This window comes from Homo sapiens, chromosome 20, assembly GCF_000001405.40.
Source record: "Homo sapiens chromosome 20, GRCh38.p14 Primary Assembly".
Taxonomy (NCBI): Eukaryota; Metazoa; Chordata; class Mammalia; order Primates; family Hominidae; genus Homo; species Homo sapiens.
In genome coordinates, this window is record NC_000020.11 from 10,809,253 (window position 1) to 10,829,696 (window position 20,444).

At 40.3% G+C, this 20,444-nt stretch overlaps 2 annotated features.

The window, feature by feature from the left end:
• Nucleotides 3,283-4,539: an enhancer, noted in NCBI's record as "VISTA enhancer hs1278". NCBI's record gives its function as "enhancer in: limb[9/11] | nose[7/11]" and the evidence as "EXISTENCE:transgenic organism evidence [ECO:0001131][PMID:17130149]".
• Nucleotides 19,116-19,316: a silencer, noted in NCBI's record as "peak4147 fragment used in MPRA reporter construct". NCBI's record gives its function as "represses an SCP1 promoter by STARR-seq MPRAs in K562 erythroleukemia cells {active_cell/tissue: K562}" and the evidence as "EXISTENCE:reporter gene assay evidence [ECO:0000049][PMID:32103011]".

Consider the following 20,444-nt stretch of genomic DNA (forward strand, 5'->3'; position numbering starts at 1 on the left):
TGAAACAACGTGATAGAGTGAATCTCAGCTGAGGTCGGAGGAGACAGGAGAGGTAGCTCAGAACGTGAAGAAGTAAAGAAAAGGGCCGCTATCATTGGATTGTTGCTGCTGTCTCGTTGTAATAAAAATTTTGGGCAACCAGGAATCTGCGACAGAATATCAGGAAAGATATCACATATATAGCTAATCAGAAAAAAAACAACAACAGTGTGTTAGACATGGAAGGTTTTCAGACATAGCCCAGTTCAAGTGTCTTTTTCTACAAATGAGCAAGCTGAGGCCTCGAGGGCTCCATGCCTAGGTCAGGAATGACAAATGTGTGGTGCATGTGTGACCACCCGTTCTCCCATGCCCGGGATACACACAACCAACTGACCATGGCGATTGTTTCCGCCAAGCCCAAATAAGACCTAAGACACCTCCATTCAGTGCTCTAGGCAGGCACCAGCAATCCAGCTCATCATAGACACTGCAACTCATGTGTCATCCCTGGACTAGAAGTAGTCTCTCACTTCTAGACGTAAAATTCAGTGATTATAACTCTTGTTAGTGACAGAGCAAAACAGTCCAATTTTGCCTTTTAAGTCTTTAATTTTCAAGTTTTATCTGCATGTGGATTATCTGGAATATAATTTGTAAATGACATGTGTAATTTATACAGATGCTGCAGCCGCAGGCATGAGAGGAAGGCAGGCTGGATGTCTCTGTTCAACATTTGTCATCCAGTCTGAAAGTTTCCCAGGCATGATTTATCTTTTTCTCTTTCTGCTACCTTCCTTTGAACTATTTATCCATGAATTAAACCACCTCCATAGACCAATTTGAGGAAGCTCGCATCAATCTATTCTTCTCTATGTTTGGCTAAAATGTTTAGTTGACCCCACATTTCTAGATCATTTGCTGTTGTGCTGAACCTCTATGGACTCCAGTGGGGTAGGCACCATGTTCAAGCGGTTGAAGAAGAGACCCAGAGCCAGCAAATGAGACATGGGGTTTTACTGGGGGCTACATACCGGGGAGAGAGTCTAGTGGTGGTGAGCTGGGCAGGAGAACTGCCTTACATACGGTCCAGTGGCGGTGAGCTGGACAAGATAACTGCATGGCCCAGAGGTGGCAGACTAGGTGGGAAAACCACAACAGCTTGCAAAATGCATGCAGTTTATATAGTGTTTCCACTTAGTGCCTTCCCACTAACAACCTCCACCTGGCAATCATCATTCAACCTAAAACTTGGGGCCTTGATCCCCTATATGGCCAGTGTTCTATGGAATGGGACAGGGACTCAGATGTTCCTTGTAGACAAGGAAGGAACTCTGGGCTGGCAACTCCTGGATTCCCTAGCTCAGAACACACATTCAGGTCCATCTTCCATACAGGGTCATCCTAAGGGTATGCCTAAGTTATTGCTATCAGATGCATTTATCATACATTTGCTTCCAGTTTTAGTCATCTATTGTCATTTATCCACCATTCTGGTGAAGGACAGCAGTGGCTCCAACGAACAATTGTGCCCATTTACTCATGATGCACACCATTCAGCAATTTGAAAGGGCCATGAAGGAGCCTCAGCAAATCTAAATCTAATCTAATCTTTTATTCTTCCTTTTGCTCTCAGTAGCCTATGTGTTGAACCATGTGAACTTGCTGATATTCAACTGTTTTTAAACTACAAAAATGTCAATTTCACATGGTTCAATCTAAAATGTATCACTTACACCTTTGCACTTTTGTGCAGAAATCTCTGAAAATATAGATGCACAGAGTAGATTTTAGTAGTTAATAATACTTTTTTTTTTTTTTTACCTGAGAGCGATTATGTACTATGCAGTAGTGACCAGAGTCACCTGCTGTCATTAGGTCAGTGTCAGGTTGAGAGAAGGGAACCCAGAGCTGGGGCCTGTGGCACGTGCCTGTAATCCCAGCTACTCCCGAGGCTGATGCAGGCGGATTGCTTATGCTGAGGAGTTTGACACTAGCCTAGGCAACATAACAAGTTCCCTTCCCCCCACCTCTCCCCCAAAAAGAGCAAAGGAAATCCTACCAAGCTTGGCAATCCATTCTGTGCTACTCAAAGAAGATAAGACCCAGACAGGGCAGATGCACTGAACAACTCCAGGTGGTGCCTTCCACATTCCAGTTAATGTGTGTAATGGCCACGGAAGCAGGAGTTTATTTTCTTCCTACCTATAACCTACCACCCTGTACAGTATACATTGAAAAAATGGGCCCCAAAGACTTAAATGTTTAACCTGAGTGGTTGTTGGCCAGGGTCTCTATGGAGCCTCTGATGTTAATGAGAAAGGTCAGACAGATACATAGAAAGTTCAGGAGTCTTAAACTGTCTGCCTATTGATCCCATAAGTTGGTCAAATGGTTTTGTTTGGAGTTTTGTTTCACCCAATTGTCTAAAACCTTTCAGTTTCATTCATTCTCATTATGTGCATGGATCCCATGAAAGTGGTTGCCATTTTGGTTTTTAATTTAGATGCTTCAGAGATAACAATGGGATATATAGTAGGTAGGAACTTGGGCTGTATCCTTTGGAGGTAGATGAACAAGGTTCTCAATCCAGCTTTGCTACTTCTAAGGCTGTGAGTGTAAGTAATTTTGCCTTTCTAAGCCTGTTTTCCCCACTGTGCAATGGTGATAGTAACTGAACATACTTCATAAGTGATTTGCTAATGCACATGATGTGCTTTGTAAGAGGTACCTAGTACTTAAAAACGTTAGTAGCGGCCATCACTCGTACAATACTTCTCCAACACAGTTTGCAAAGCGGGGTGAACGTGTGCCCTGCCAAAATTCTTTTACAAGCTTGCTGCATCATTCCCAGCTTCTGCCAACAGCTTGAACCTGTGACCTTCTGAAAGTTACCTCTGGGCACTTGGAGATGCTTTACTTTCCGAGAGCCATAAGTGCCTGGGAGTGTACATTTCCAACCAATACCAGCCTGACCATCTGTAGCCAAGGACTAGCTAGGGTACGACTGTGAAAGCCCTGCTCCTTTGCCTTGATTCAGGACAAACTCTGAGGTATAATTTGTGCTCTAGCGATTTATGCAAGCTGAGGCAGGGACTGGAAATTTGTAGGGAATATCAACTCTGGCTCCACTTCTTCCCCTTTTCGGTCCAGCATTCCCCACCTGGTGCTTTCTGGTAGCACTTCCTTAATCTGTGAATCCTGGCCTCAGTCTGCCTCCTAGCAACCTGACTAACTATAAACGGGACTGTGTTTCACCTACACAAAACGTCAGGTAGGATTCCCACTTTACCGATGTGGAATATGGAGGCTCACCTGACTTGCAGAAGTTCCCTCTTGCCAGTAGGTAACAAGCAGCACCTGGCTCCAGCTGCGCTGTCTTGGGAGGCACACCTGATCCAAGTCAGTTATCTCCATTCCCCACTGTTAATTTTAAGACTAAGCGAAAGGCTAGAGTGGCTGATCTTATAAGGCATTTGGTATTGAGAAAAGAGAGGAAAACTTAAACAAGGCTAAAGAAAAGGGTCGAAAATCTTATCATAAATGCTGGATCCTGTTGCTTTTGAAACTGCATCGTAGAGAGTATTCCCTGATATCAGCAAGAAGGGGCTGGGACCTGAGGGTTATTGTATTTCTACATGCAGACTATACTGCAGCCTGCTTGATGCTGGCATCGGCTTGCTTCGTGCTTAAACCGCTTATTAAAGTCTAGACGCAACATAAAAGCACGTAAATTGGTTCCAGCCATCTCTAGTAAAAACTTCAGCTGGAGCTGGGAAGTGATTGGAGCATCTCTTGGTGTAATTAAAATTGACTCTTAAAGTTTCTTTAGCTTAATTGGTAACACTTTCTTTGGAGGTTGGTGAAAGCGTCTTGCTGGGAAGGTTAAATGCATTTCTGTGTATAAGAACAGAATTCAAATATAGTTTTATGGACACATTTACAGTTATGTTCTACCCGGGTGGTCTTTTTTCCCTGTATCTTTTCTATTTAAGATTTATGCTGTCATTCACCACAGTCTAAATGTGTTTTGATAAAAGGAAAAAAAATGAACCGTTGCTGACGCATTTCAAACAGACAGTTGGTAATATTTTGAAGCTTTCAGTAAATTGAACTGCAGTTTGGCTTAACCCGAGCTCCTTCTTTCCCCCAAACCCTTCACTTAGAGTCTAGCGCTTAAGCTTTGTTTGTTATCCAGAAATTAAAGTAGCTACTACTATTTGGCTGTGTCCAAAGGTAGGAAACCAGGCATTTTCTAAGATAGCCACGCCTTTGCTGTGACCGAATGCCTTTGACCCCCATTATTTGAGAATGAATGTGTTTATGTGCGTGGATATGTTTATATGTGCTGGGACTTCTCTTCTTTGGCATTGCTTCTTGAGGGTCTTGTCAGTGTGATACATTCTGATAGGCAAAAGGCCTAGGCTTTCCATTTTTGGAGAGTAATCATGGACGAAGCTTCCAATTCTCTGGACTGTCCTTAATTCAGACTTGGGAGAGGACCTGCTTTAATTTACATTTGTGAACATTGACTCTTCATGATTTCCAGGGCAAGGATTTGATCCTTATTGTAGGAATCTATTTTGATCCATCCCTATAGAGCAGAGGGACTACCTTCCTTGAAATCAGTTCAATATTATCTCTTTGTGTGTATGTGGTGTTGCAAAACAATGTTATGAAGACCATAAAGGAAATAAAAATCACTCTGATTCTAGGATCCAAATGCAACAACTGCTTATATTTCTGTGTTTTTTTTCCTAATACTTGTCTACAGGCTTATATAGTTTCAGTTTTTGTTATATAGGTATAATTTTTAACCAATAATCTTTTAAAAAATACCGAGTTAATTTTTCTCATTAAGTACGTACTTGTTATAGAACATTTAAAAATATAACAAAGTGTAGTACCAATTGCTCAAACACAATGCTTGCTAAGATTTTAGTGTTTATTTCTTCAAACTTTTATATATGCCTTGCTTTGCCTCTTCTATGTGCAATATGAACAAGAATTGTATTCATATTGCATATATAATTATGATTTCTGTCTTTTTATTTCACATGATTTTAATAATATATTATTATAAATTTTTGATAAATATTTAAATGGTTACATAATAATATGCTACATTAACAGGCTGTAATTTGCTTTAGCATTCTTTTACTAGAAGATAATGTTCCATTTTATTTTTTGCTATTGTAATGCTACAAATGGGCAGGATAATTCTAAATTCAGATTTGTTTGTTTTCTGCATCCAGAATTATTTCCTTTCCATAGATTCCAAAAGATGAACTTATATCATCAAAAGGAGTGAAAAGATTTAAGGCTCTTGATAATATTGCCAAATGTATTTCCAAAATGTTCTATCAATTTACAGTCTTATTAGCAACATACAGAGCTACCATTATTGGTTATGGCCAATGATGTTAGTGTTTTACCATTTTGGTAGAAAGCAGCATCTTGTTCAGTTTGCATATCTCTGGTGACAATAAGGTTGTTCTGTTTCCTTTGTGTTATCTAATTCCATATCCTTTCAAACGAATCATCTGTTCTCATCCTTTGCTGACTTAGCTTTTGAATTTTTGTACTTTAAAAAACATTGATCTGTGATATATAGTATACATATTAACTATATTTTGATCTTTTTTTATATTTTCTGCAATTTGCAAGAGCAGTGTTTTGTTTACTTGGTATGTTAGATGATGTGAGTGTAAATACCATTTCTGCATACTTTGTGGTGACTGGGCATTCTGGGAGGGCAGTAGTGCTGTCATTGAGATGACATGATCTCTGTTTCCAGGGAGACCGACTTGCACCCCAGCTCTGATACTAGTGATGCCTTTCACATTTCAGGTGTCAAGCCCAGATTTTGCTCACATCACTTCTTTCCATATGGAAATCCTACATACCCTTTAAGGCCTAGGTCACATGTAATCTCTTCCAGTTTCCTGGTCTCCTTCCATTGCTTCTTCCTGGTTAGTAATCCCAAAGATCTGTGCTTCATTCGAGAGAGAACCCTTCTCAAGATCTGGAGGAGAATTTTTGGGGGAAGTTTTCCTGGGAGTTTTATTTTCTTATAGAACTACCAGTAAAGTTATTGAAGTCCATTTAATGATTGGCAGAAATGAATGTGGATGGGATAACTTGATTTTAAGCTGAAAGAAGAGGAAAAGGATAGTTTTTTCTATCTTGTTTTGCATTCTTTTTCACCTCCTGCATATAGTTGGGGCTGTGTGTGTGTGTGTGTGTACATTTTTGTGTGTGAGTGTGTGCATGCACCCAAGCCTAGATTCCACTGAAAAGCAGAACCAGAGGCAAGGGGTTGCGTGCAGGTTGTTTTAGGAAATGATTCCAGGGATCAGAAGCAGGAGATTGGGGAGAGTGAAGTAGGGAAAGAAGAAAAGCCAATTTCATGGTGAATTATTGAGCTGATTCTTGCTGTGGGTACTAGGGCTCAGTCCAGAGCCCCCAGAAGCCATGCAGGATTGTCTTCTGAGAAGAAGGGAGTATTTCTCCACTGGTTTCCATTACTCATGGTCAAGGATGCCCCATGAGTTAATTCCCTTACACTTCTAAGTTTGCATGTGTGCCAGAATGGCTGGTTGGGTTCTTTCTGGCATCCTACATGACTGTGGCATAGAAAGGCCCAGTATAGAAAGTGAGAGGTACATGATATAGTTGAGCTGAAGTGCTGTCAGGTTACATCACATACATCTGGTTGCAGCAACAATGCTGTAGTGGAAAGTGGGGGTGGTGGTAAGAGACCCTAGGAAGTGCACAAGAGGAGTCAGACATGGTGTGCATGTATTATAACCTCATGTGTGCTTTCCCTGTTTAATTAGGTAGATTTGGAGCCTGGGTGGATGCAGCATCTATTTAATCTTGATGTTTTTCTTTGTGAACCCACACCTCACTTTCTTTCAGTGAAGGTGTCCCCCATTCACTACCTCCACCTCTTATGTCCTCCAGGCCTGGCCAATGAGAACATTGCATTTCCCCAACCAAAGTGATTGACTCAGGGACGGGGATGTGATACAGCCAGAATCGAGAGAACCAATCAAGGCTTTCCCAGGACTAATGGGGAAAAAACACCTTTTCTTTTTCTATTTGGAAGATGTAAGACTGTAGCTTCAGGGGTACCACTCAGAGCTTGAAAAAAAAATGAATAAAGCAGGAGATGGAGCTGAGATCCAGAGAAAAACCAGGTCCTGATGGGATGGCATTGTTTGAATTCTTGAATTCAGCCACCCATGGAAATTTCAAGTTACATTAACCAGTTAAATACTTGTTTTTGCTGAAGCCAATTTGATAAGGGGTTTCCATCACTTGCAACCAAAAGATACCAATAGATACTTTGAGTTTACTCTCATTTAAGGTCAATCTTACTTTTTATTTTACTTCATTCATTCAAATAATATTTAATGAGTGCCTACTCTGTACCTGATGTTGTGAAAAAGTTCAGCTTCCAGTTGCATGGAGAAGAAAGAGATATGTAAAATAAAGCTCAGCTCTACTTTAATTTTCTGGAATACAGAACAAATTACCTTTAGGTAGGTATGTCTTTGAGCAACAGCTGATTGCCAGAAGGCATAGAGGAAGTTTTTGGCTCTAAAAATAACTCAAGAGATGAGAGAGATTCAAGCCTAAGGGAAATTGGGAGGGGTGGGAGGGAGGAGGAAGGACACCTTTTATTGAAAATATATAATGGTGGTAATATTTGCAGAGTATCAAGAAATGGTCACAAATATAATTTCTATTACATGATATATCAGTTATCTATTGCTGCAATAATGCAACATCACAAGTAGCCATACAGCTTCGCATGCATGTGACAATAAACCTTTTTGTTCATAAATCTATGGTTTGGCTGAGTGGTTGTGCCAATCTGAGCCAGGCTTGGTAGGGCTTACTCATATGTCTATCAGCTTGGGTTTGGCTGGGTAACTTTGCGGATCTTGGCTGGACTTCCTCACATGTCTGAGACCTTGACTGGGACATTTGGGGCCTGCTCTACATGTCTCTACCTTGAGCAGTTTAGCCAAGGCATGCTTATATGTGAAGCTGAGGAGCAACAGACTAAATGGAAACCCATTTCAAGCCTTTGCCCACATCACCTTTGCTGATATTTAATTGACCAAAACAAATCACAGGGCTAAATTTAGGGACATGAGGCAGGCACTACAACATTATATAGCCAAGGGTAGAGAACCAGGGGAAGGTAAAGAATTGAGACCATTTTTACAACCTGTCTACCATACTTGGTTGGCTTATACGTAGTTTATTAAAATTAATATTAGTATAATTGATTTGATTTGTTGAAATGTAGTTCATTTAGTCCCTGAGTTCCCAGAAAAATAAAACTCTTGACAGCTGAGTCTTGGTCAAATCAGCTCCCCTCTAAACACATGGGGGCTTTGCCTTTTCTCCATAGGAAAACCCCAATATTTTGGATTTGTTAAAAACAAAAAGATGTCTTTTGGATTTAAAATATGCTACCTTTCTTTACAGAGTTTAGATTTCCTAAGCTGGAAGCTATGTATACCTTTTTCACCAAGGTCAGCTCTGAGCCTATGATATTCACTGTCTTTGTGAACAAATTCTAGGGCTCTCTACTATGTTCCCCTTCCATATTTCAGATAGGGTCTTAAAAGGCTGATTGCTTTGGATATGCACGGATCAGAGAATGATTACAATTGGCTTTTTAAAGAATTTATTATATTTTTACTTTTTTTCTGATGTTATGGATTTATGTAATATTTGAGCTTTGTAATCCCTGAAATTTTTACTTAAAATAAATCTCAGGGTTTTTTTCCCTCTCTATCCCTTATAGGTTTCCAACTCTGAAGGGTGGTTGAGCTCAAGACACTGAATAGGCCCCTATATCTAGCAACCATTTTTGTTTAACTGCAAGAGTTTTGAAAGTTGGTAGTCTAGGTTTGAAACCAGGTTCTACTGTTATTATTAGTTGGATAGCTTAAAGCAAATTTTTCATTTTCAGCCTGAGCTTACCTCTCTGAAAAATAGGTGTCACATTACCTACTTTATAGTGTGAAACGAGATAACACATGTGAAGCCCTTTGCCCAGTGCTTTACAGGTAGTTAGTGCTCAATAAATGGAGACTGTTCTTAGCCTACTTTGTGGCCTCCAGTTCATTGCCATCAAAAGTATTTTAGAACATCAGCTTCTGTATTAGTCTGTTCTCACACTGCTAATATAGACATATCCAAAGACTGGGTAATTTATAAAGGAAAGAGGCTTAATGGACTTACAGTTCCACTTGACTGGGGAGGCCTCACAATCATGGCAGAAGGTGGATGAGGAGTGAAGTCACATCTTACATGGTGGCAGGCAAGAGAGTGTGCAGAGGGAAACTCCCCTTTATAAAACCATCAGATCTTCTGAGACTTATGCATTGTCATGAGAACAGCATGGGAAAAACCCATCCCCAGGATTCAATTACCTCCCATTGGGTCCCTCCCACAACACATGGGTATGATTACAATTAGAGGTGAGATTTGGATGGGACACAGAGCCACACCGTATCAGCCTTCCTATCCTGAGAAACCTTGCTCAGGCTGGTGATGGAAGCTCAGAAACTATTTATATAAGACACTTCCCAAGGAGGACACAAGCTTGGGAGATGTTGACAGGAATGACTCCAGCAGGTGGGAAGTTGCAGGAGGAAGGACATGGAGCTGACTACTTGTCCTGCTACTGTGGGAATTTCATGTGTCTGTTCTCATCATTATTCAGATGCTCTGCTCATACCTCAAGCCTCTTATTTGCATAATTCACTCCCCCGTTTCCTTTCAAGTGTCCCTCACTCTCAACAAGATGTTATGAATTTGTTTGCTCTTGCTTCTCTAGTTCTTTTAATTGTGATGTTAGGGTGTCAATTTTAGATCTTTCCTGCTTTCTCTTGTGGGCATTTAGTGCTATAAATTTCCCTCTACACACTGCTTTAAATGTGTCCCAGAGATTCTGGTACATTGTGTCTTTGTTCTTACTGGTTTCAAAGAACATCTTTATTTCTGCCTTCATTTCATTATTTACCCAGTAGTTATTCAGGAGGAGGTTGTTCAGTTTCCATGTAGTTGTGTGGTTTCAAGTGAGTTTCTTAATCCTGAGTTCTAATTTGATTGCACTGTGGTCTTAGAGGTGTTTATAGTATTCTTTGATGGTAGTTTGTATTTCTGTGGGATCGGTGGACAAGAAATAACTAAGATCAGAGGAGAACTGAAGGAGATAGAGACAGGAAAAACCCTTCAAAAAAAATCAATGAATCCAGGAGCTAGTTTTTTTTTTTGAAAAGGTCAACAAAATAGATAGACCACTAGCCAGACTAATAAAGAAGAAAAGAGAGAAGAATCAAATAGATGCAATAAAAAATGTTAAAGGGGATATCACCACCAATCCCACAGAAATATAAACTACCAACAGCGAATACTATAAACACCTCTACGCAAATAAACTAGAAAATCCAGAAGAAGTGGATAAATTCCTGGACACATACACCCTCCCAAGACTAAACAAGGAGGAAGTCAAATCCCTGAATAGACCAATAACAAGTTCTGAAATTGAGGCAGCAATTAATAGCCTAACAACCAAAAAAAGTCCAGGACCAGATGGATTCACAGCTGAATTCTACCAGAGGTACAAAGAGGAGCTGATATAATTCCTTCCAAAACTATTCCAAACAATAGAAAAAGAGGGAATCCTCCCTGACTCATTTTATGAGGCCAGCATCATCCTCATACCAAAACCTGGCAGAGACACAACAAAAAAGAAAATTTCAGGCCAATATCCCTGATGACCATCGATGTGAAAATCCTCAATAAAATACTGGTAAATCAAATCCAGCAGCACATCAAAAAGCTTATCCACCAGGATGAAGTAGGCTTCATCCCTAGGATGCAAGGCTGGTTCAACATACACAAATTAATAAACGTAATCCATCACATAAACAGAACCAACAACAAAAACCACATGATTATCTCAATAGATGCAGAAAAGGCCTTCGACAAAATTCAACAGCCCTTCATGCTAAAAACTCTCAATAAACTAGGCATTAATGGAATGTATCTCAAAATAGTAAGAGTTATTTATGACAAACCCACAGCCAATATCATACTGAATGGGCAAAAACTGGAAACATTCCCTTTGAAAACCAGTACAGGACAAGGATGCCCTCTCTCACCACTCCTATTCAACATAGTGTTGGAAGTCCTGACAAGGGCCATCAGGCAAGAGAAAGAAATAAAGGGTATTCAAATAGGAAAAGAGGAAGTCAAATTGTCTCTGTTTGCAGATGACATGATTGTATATTTAGAAAACCCCATCGTCTCAGCCCCAAATCTCCTTAAGCTGATAAGAAACTTCAGCAAAATCTCAGGACACAAAATCAATGTGCAAAAATCACAAGCATTCCTATATACCAATAACAGACAGAGAGCCAAATCATGAGTGAACTCCTATTCACAATTGCTACAAAGAGAATAAAATACCTAGGAATCTAACTTACAAGCGATGTGAAGGACCTCTTCAAGGAGAACTACAAACCACTGCTCATGGAAATAAGAGAGGACACAAACATGTGGAAAAACATACGATGCTCACGGATAAGAAGAATCAATATCATCAAAATAGCCATACTCCCTGAAGTAATTTATAGATTCAATACTGTCCCAATCAAGCTACCATTGACTTTCTTCATAGAATTGGAAAAAACTACTTTAAATTTCATGTGGAACCAAAAAAGAGGCCACATAGCCAAGACAATCCTAAGCAAAAAGAACAAAGCGAGAGGCATCACGCTACCTGACTTTAAACTATAATACAAGGCTACAGTAACCAAAACATCATGGTACTGGTACCAAAACAGATATATAGACCAATGAAACAGAACAGAGGCCTCAGAAATCACACCACCCATCTACAACCATCTGATCTTTGACAAACCTGACAAAAACAAGCAATGGGGAAAGGATTTCCTATTTAAGAAATGGTGTTGGGAAAACTAGCTAGCCATATGCAGAAAGCTGAAACTGGATCCCTTCCTTACACCTTTTACAAAAATTAACTCAAGATGGATTAAAGACTTAAACATAAGACCTAAAACCATAAAAAGCCTTAGAAGAAAACCTAGGCAGTACCATTCAGGACATAGGCATGGACAAATACTTGATGACTAAAACACCAAAAGCAATGGCAACAAAAGCCAAAATAGACAAATGGGATCTGATTAAACTAAAGAGCTTCTGCACAGCAAATGAAACTATCACCAGAGTGAACAAGCAACCTACAGAATGGGAGAAAATTTTTGTAATCTATCCATCTGACAAAGGACTAATATCCAGAATCTACAAAGAACTTAAACAAATTTAAAAGAAAAAACAAGCCCATCAAAAAGTGGGTGAAGGATATGAACAGACACTTCTCAAAAGAAGACATTTATGCAGCCAACAAACATGAAAAAAAGCTCATCATCACTGGTCATTAGAGAAATGCAAGTCAAAACCACAATGAGATACCGTCTAATGCCAGTTAGAATGGCAATCATTAAAAAGTCAGGAAACAACAGATGCTGGAGAGGATGCGGAGAAATAGGAAGTCTTTTACACTGTTTGTGGGAGTGTAAATTAGTTCAACCATTGTGGAAGACAGTGTGGAGATTCCTCAAGGATCCAGAACTAGAAATAACATTTGACCTAGCAATCCCATTACTGGGTATATACCCAAAGGATTAAAAATCATTCTACTATAAAGACACATGCACACATATGTTTATTGTGGCACTGTTCACAATAGCAAAGACTTGGAACCAACCCAAATGCCCATCAGTGATAGACTGGATAAAGAAAATGTGGCACATATACACCATGGAATACTATGCGGCCATAAAAAAGGATGAATTCATGTCCTTTGCAGGGACATGGATGATGCTGGAAACCATCACTCTCAGCAAACTAACAGAAGAACAGAAAACCAAATACGGTATGTTCTCACTCATAAGTAGGAGTCGAACAATGAGAACACATGGACACAATGATGGGAACACCACACACTGGGGCTTCTCGGGGGGTGGGGGGCTAGGGGAGGGATAGCACTAGGAGAAATACCTAATGTAGATGACAGGTTGATGGGTACAGCAAAGCACCATGGCATGTGTATACCTATGTAACAAACCTGCACGTTCTGCACATGTACCCCAGAACTTAAAGTAAAATTTTAAAAAAATTTAAAAATTGGCAAGGTTTGGTATCCTGAATACATGTAGTTAATATGATCTCAACCTTGAAAGAATAGTACATGCACCCATAAGAAAAGTCTGTAAAAATATAAATAAAAGTGTTAACAGTATTTGAGGAAAAAAAATGTTGTGAAGACACACTGGGAGAACCAGTAGCTCTCAAATATAGCTGCACAATAAAATTGCTTGGGAAACTTTAAAAAATCCTGATGCCTGAGCCCTACCTTAAAAATTCTGATTTACTTTATCCGAAGTGGGGTTTGGGCATCCACATTTTAAAAAGTTCTTCATGTGGTGCTCATGTGTCTCTAGGGTGAGAGTCACCCAGCCAAGTTATTGCTGGTGTTTATGCAAGATTTCATTCTACTCTTTATTTATGATCCTACTTCTTGTCATTTGATTGCTCCAGCCTGCAAACATTCCCTTTGGAAGAGGGTTGTTTTCCGAATAGGTAACCAGCATTCCCTGGTGAATAAGCTAACGGCTTTATCACGATGTTCTGGGAGCTAGCTATGCCTCATGATATTGTTAATCTTGTTGTAGGCTGATTGGAGAATTTTCCTTTGTGGCCCCCTAAATGTCCTTCTGAAAAGTGATGATAACCCACATGTTTGCAACAAAAGACAATTCCACCATACACTTGGGCAGTGACGTATACTCTTCCATGAGCTTCTATGTTTGCTATGAGAGCTATTACAGTAGGACTTGAAAAAACTTGGAGTTAGAATTTACCTACATCACTAATCAATTATTGTAAATTTGGCCAAAGCTCTTAAATTCACTGAATTTAAATAAAAATAAATTCTTTGTTTCTTTACTTTCCCTCTAAAAAATTCCAGTGTGATGTATAGAGTAGTTATCACTGGGTCTTTGTCCTACTTGGCAGATGAGGAAACTGAGCTGAAATAAATGAGAATTAGAGGATCAGCTTTGGGCGGATGCAACAGGTCTCTCCTCTTCCCACTCCCATGCCTTTGCCTCTTCCATTGCTCCTAGGCGGCAGAGATGCCTATGGGCAATGGATTACCTTTCACGGGTGCAGTCAATGAGTGCTGGGAGAAGGTCTTCTCTATTCTACAGGCACTTGCATGTCTGTTCTTCTGGGCTTCTTTGAGCACAGAGTCAGAGAGGAGGGATGGTAGAGACTATCTAGATGTTCTTTAAATGTGTATTCATTGCTTCCTGGCACACAGCTAAGCAACCTTTCCTAGCCTCCCTTGCAGTTAAATCTGATCACTGGTTGCACTCTGGCCAATAGAATGTGGGTGGAAGTGATGTGTGCTGCTTCCAGGCCCTCAAAAGCTCCCAGGAGCACCCTCTAGGGGTTTCCACATCTGCTTTTTCCATCATGGAAATCGTGTATGTGAAGATGGTGAAGGAAGAAGATAGAAGGAACCTCGGTTCTTGATTCAGAGCTTGAAGAAGAACTACATGATCAAGAAAATCTGTACGAAATGATTACATGAACAAGAAACAAAAACAAAAAAACTCAAACACCTCCTATTGTGTTGGCCTTTGACAGTGTCACGTGTGCTTGTTTTATTGCCTTGACTAACTTTGGAGGAATGGAGAGGATATGGGGTTTGGTGGGGTATGGGCATGCTTGCAAGGGTATGCCACTCTGCCTCTGTGGTGTCACTCACACTCCAGGGCTGTCTGTGGGATCAGCTGAAATCATATACTTTCTCGGCTTCTTCTGCCCTGTGCTTCCTCATTGCCTTGTTGGTATTACCTGAGACTCCTCCCTTATAAATCACATGTAAAAGAATCCCCATCTCAGGCTCAGCTCCATGAGAATCTAACTTAGAGCATTTCCCCCTAGAATATAAGCTCCTGATGGCAGGATTGTACTTTGTTTCATTCTCCATTGAATTTCTAGTTATCGAATGAATGAATGTGTAAGTCACTAGAAACTATGGATAAATATAAGGAAATAAGTCATAGACTTGGCTCTATGTTCTCTCATCTTATCTGAAAGCACTATTTTCCATAAACCTTAAAAAAATGTAGACAATCTCATATATTATTTTTCACTGTTTTTTCTTAATAGAGGACAATGAAGAGATACTACCGTTTTATTTAATGTCCTTTGAAATCCAAGTGAAATTTAATTGTGGAATTGATTCTTAAGGCAATTTTTCTTTTCCTTGATCAGTTCTTCATATACTTATTATTATTTTTTTTTTCTGAAGAGCAGCATCTGAGATAATTGCTTTTTTTGAGTAAAACTTGCAATGAGTTTCATGTAAATTATAAAAGTTAGCCTGGCAGTGGAAGCAAAGAACATGTCCACATTAGAAACCGTTTAAATTCAAACCTAATTCCTTTAAAGAACGCTGTACCAGACAATGTGGCCTTTCCTTTGAAAGGCCTGCTTCAGGCACAAGGGAAATGGGGGCGTCTCCATTTGTTGTTGAACAGTGCCCTTAGCTGAGCAGTGGGAGAGAAATGATGAGGAGCGTGCAGAAAGCGATTGCTTTAAGCGCATTGGCTTTTCCTTTCATATCTGCAATGTGATCCTATTATTTTCAAGCAAATGGGGTCCTAAGTGTGCCTGGCTGGAGGTTTGCTATTTTCCTCTATTCTTTCCTTTAAATCTTTTTTGTCAACCATGTTCTCCACAACTAGCAGAGCAGCTGTCTGGGTAGTTATAATCCCATTAAAAAGGCTTCTATTTTGTCAATAATAAATTTATAGAGAAATTAGTCACCTGGGGTCGTTGGATGATTCTTCTCTTTATACATATTGTACCCCAGAAAAGCAGACCATCTCCTTCTTGTTATATGAGGCCTGCTGCCTCTGTCACGGTGCCATATTGGCAGAAACTGATTAGCAATTAACATGGAACATGCCTTCCTCTGTTTGCAAAGCCCCCTTAATCTTTCCCACTGATCATATTCCGCTCTAGCTTTTCTGATAAAGCTGATATTGTAGATGAGTCTGGGTGTACGCGGCTTATAGTATTAGGTAAAAATATGACAGGCATTAAATGACCATCCTGGTGGGAAAGGTGGGGAATTTAACCACAAAGATTTTCTAAACCTGTTCAACTGCATTTGAGCAGTATCCTAAAATTAGTAGTGCATCTTCCTCCACAGACTCCATTCTTTTTTCTAAAGAGGCTTTACATTCTTAACATTTGAGTTCAGGTCTAATTATATACTTCTATAATAAAAGGAAGAAGAAAGACAAAACCTGGATTTGAGCAGTTAGGGGAATGACTTGCAGTATAAGACTATGTTTGATTATTAAACTAGCCACTATTAGTGGGTTGAGGTTTAGTTTTTGGAAACTCATCATGTTTTGAAAACCATAAAAACTAGCACACCTTTTAGCAGACTTTATAATGAAAGAGGGTGACGTCAAAGACAATCCACGTGGTATGGCATACCATTTGTACTAATTTCTCTTTCTTATTTTCCAAATCATGACTGATTTTTGAGACACCAACAAGACTCTCTTCAAGGCTGATTTCTTACTGTTACTTTCTCACTAGTTTCAGAGTTCTGGAAATATCTAGATAGACAAAGAGACAAGTCATCTGTAGGCTAGTTGGTGTTTGCTCTCAGAACATTGGTGGGAAGTTGCAAACAGAGGCACAAAGCAAGGCATCACCCCACGTTTCATCTGTTGTCACCCACCTTCAATACTAAGCAAGCAGCTTTCAGGAGAGCCCTAGCCAAATTTGCAGAGCAGATCATCAGATTTAAATAATGGCATGAAAAGCTATGAGTGGAGAAATAACAGCAATATTTATATAACATAGCTGAAATTTCCTCAGCTGTTTGGAATTACTTAGACATCACATTTAAAGTGAAATTCAGAGAAGCAAGAATCCTTGGCCAGGTCTCTAGTTCTGGGAGTCAGATGTTCTAAAAGCTTCATTCGATCCTGCTCACCAGCTGTTCCTCTCTTCACCAAGAAAAGGTTCTTTACTGCTTTTCTCTGTATTGTGCCTTCCTCCACCCCATATCATGTGGTGTTTTTCCCATTCAGAAAAGATGGACCTTTCCACCTTGAGTGTATAGGGGTTTGCTTTTGAGATGGAGAATATGGGGCCAGGGCATAGAGCTTTTGAGAACTCAAATTGCATAGGTTTTTAAAAAAATGCTTGCTTTTCATGCTTGCATGAATTCTACATTCAGATGATATTCATTAGAAATACAACTTGTGATGTCTCAGTGGCCCACACATGCTCATGTTGAAGGACCCCAGAATTCAAGTTGCCAATTTCCTACATTGCTGGTAAATGGCCATATGACAGAACATCATATCTTGACCCTAAAAGCTTCAGGTTTCATTCTCTTTGTGATCTAAGGAAAATTCTCTGAGAGTGGAATATTCTAGATCTATGCAGTCCAGTGGAAATTTCTGCAACGATGGAAATGTTCTCTGCCCTGTCCTATTTGGTATTCATTAGCTATCGCACACTTAAAATGTGGCCAATGTGATGAGAAATTGAACCTTTAATTCTGTACATTTTAATGAATTTAAATTTAAATATCCTTATGTGGCTAGTGGCCACTGTATTGGACAACCCTATTGAAGTAGAGAACTTTTCTAGTAGCTAGGATTGGCAAAGCCTGTATAAGCCACACATTTTGAGGCACAATGTAATGTAGTGGTTGAGAGAGCTGACCTGGAACCCAGACTAGATGAGTTCAAATTCCACCTCTGCTACTTTTGAACTGTGAAGTTGCAGAGGCTATTAATCTCTCTGTGCCTTAGTTTCCTCATTGGTAAATTGAGAGATAATGTCTGTCTCACAGTATTTGTGTAATAATTTATTGACTAATTCACATAAAACGCTTAGAATAGGCCAGGCGCGGTGGCTCACGCCTGTAATCCCAGCACTTTGGGAGGCCGAGGTGGGTGGATCACCTGAGGTCGGGAGTTCGAGACCAGCCTGACCAATGTGGAGAAACCCCATCTCTACTAAAAATACAAAATTAGCTGAACGTGGTGGCACATGCCTGTAATCCCAGCTACTTGGGAGGCTGAGGCAGGAGAACTGCTTGAACATGGGAGGCGGCTGTTGCAGTGAGCCGAGATTGTGCCATTGCCCTCCAGCCTGGGCAACAAGAGTGAAACTCTGTCGGGAAAAAAAAAAAAGGTTAGAATAGTACCTGACACAGAAAACCAGACTTAAAAGTAGACAATGCAATGGCATAGGAGTTCTGAGACTGTGCTCCTGGAACCAATGAAATAAATTGAAAGGATTAAGTAAAACATTCATCCACGGCACATAGATGGTGAAGCCTGAGGGTTTTCCTCCCCATTTCCTCTATTTTCATCACTATTTGTTAGTTAACTCATATATTTGTTTAACAAATAAGACTGCTCTCTGCTAGTCTTGTCCTAGAGGCTAGAGATGTAACAGTGAACAGAACATCATATCTGTCTGCAAGGAGGTTATGGTTGGGTGAGGGAGAGTATGGGAGACTAAATGCAAAAATGACTGCACTTCTTCACCCCTCTCTGTAGCATGCCTCTTTGTAATGTGACTTATCTTAGCTCCTCTCAAGAGGAGTCCATTTCCTCACTCTTAAATCTGGGTTAGGCTTGTGCCTTGATTTGACAATAGAGTGCAGCAAAAGTGACCTTGTGCCAGTTATTCACCTATGCTTCAAAATATCTTGTATGAATCTCTCCCTTGCCCCTTTTCTTTCTCTCAGAACCTTGCCCAGATGCTGTGTGAACAAGTTCAAGCTAGTCTGCTGGAGGATGAGAGGTCACAGGCACGTGGCCCAGTTAACGCCATCCTAGACCAGCTAGTGCCACCCAGATGACCACAGATGCATGAGCAAACACAGCTGGGCACAGCTCATGGACTCATGTTTGAAGTCGCTAAGTTTTGGGGTGTGGTGGATTTGTATGCAGCATTCACTCACTGATATAGACACAGTCCGTCCATGTGGCAGCCATCAATCATCACATGGCGTGATGGCCACTGTCATAGAGATAAAGACAGGGCATCTGAGGAGCCTTCCTAAAGGAAGACATTGCTAAGCTGAGGTCTGAAAGATGAAGATAAAGGAAGGAGATGTTTCAGACAGAGAGAACAGCATGAAAGACTTAGAACATGAAGAGCAGAGTTCATTTTTTTTCTCTGCAGAAGCATGTGAATGTAAATGTTTCTTTGCTCCAGGAGCTTCTTGTGTAGCTGTGATGTCAAGATCCATACACAAATAGAGAAGTCTATGATTACACAAGGTGAACTATATTAAGTGCTGAATTTATTCAGACCCTAGTGCAGGAGATGAGAAGAGAGTAGAGAGAGAAATCAATATGAACTGAAATAAGCAGCCTGGAAGGTTCTTGGAAGATAAGCGAATTGTGCTAGGACTTAAGGAATGGGTAAGACTTGGCTGGGAGTGCAGGGAAGAGTAAAATATTCCTGCAACTACCTGGGGCACTTTGTGAGAGTGCCTACTTGGTCATCCTTGCCCATTGTGCACCTACTGTGCACTAAACCCAGTGTGAGGAACCACAGGAGATGAAAAAGAAGCAGGAAACACTACCCTAGTCTTGCAAAAATGAGTGTTATACTTGCCTTTGGGGTGGCAAGCTCCTCTTAAGTTACATCTTGGCATTTGCACAACACGAGTTCAGCCTATCATTCATTTCCATCTACATTGTTGGGGTTATCGCTTTGTGGCGGGATGCAGGGAGAACCATAAAATTGTAGATCAACAAGTACAGTTTTAGGTGTTCTTGCTAACAGTTAAAGGCTTGGTTGCCAGTTTTTTCAGAAGATACTGTCTCATGACCACTTTTCAAAGAGACTAGGGAGTTCCATTTCTGAGCCCCCTGAAGTGTGGATTTCACGCTGCTCTGAAGATCTGAGCCCCAGGACATTGGCGCCTGTTGAGAGTTTTATCTTTTCTCCTTAAGGTTTCTATTGGGCCTTCTTGGGATTTAGAGGCTTATGTGGTGTTTTCTTAGCCAGAAGTCTTTGCAAAACTTGATTATCGGAAATAAACCAGAGCCACCCCCAACTTCTTGAAAACAGTGTTTAAGAAAACCTTAATTTGGAGTGAGGGACAGCCCAGACGGCTCTGGCATTAGCTCAGAGCTGGCAATCCTGCATCGAAGCAGAAAGTTGCCTATTTGTAAGAGATATATTTGTTGAATCACAAAAGAAAGCTGCTATTATAAGTAAACCCAGGCATCTAGGGACTTGTGTGGAGATAATTCATGCTGCCCCCTTTTCCAGTT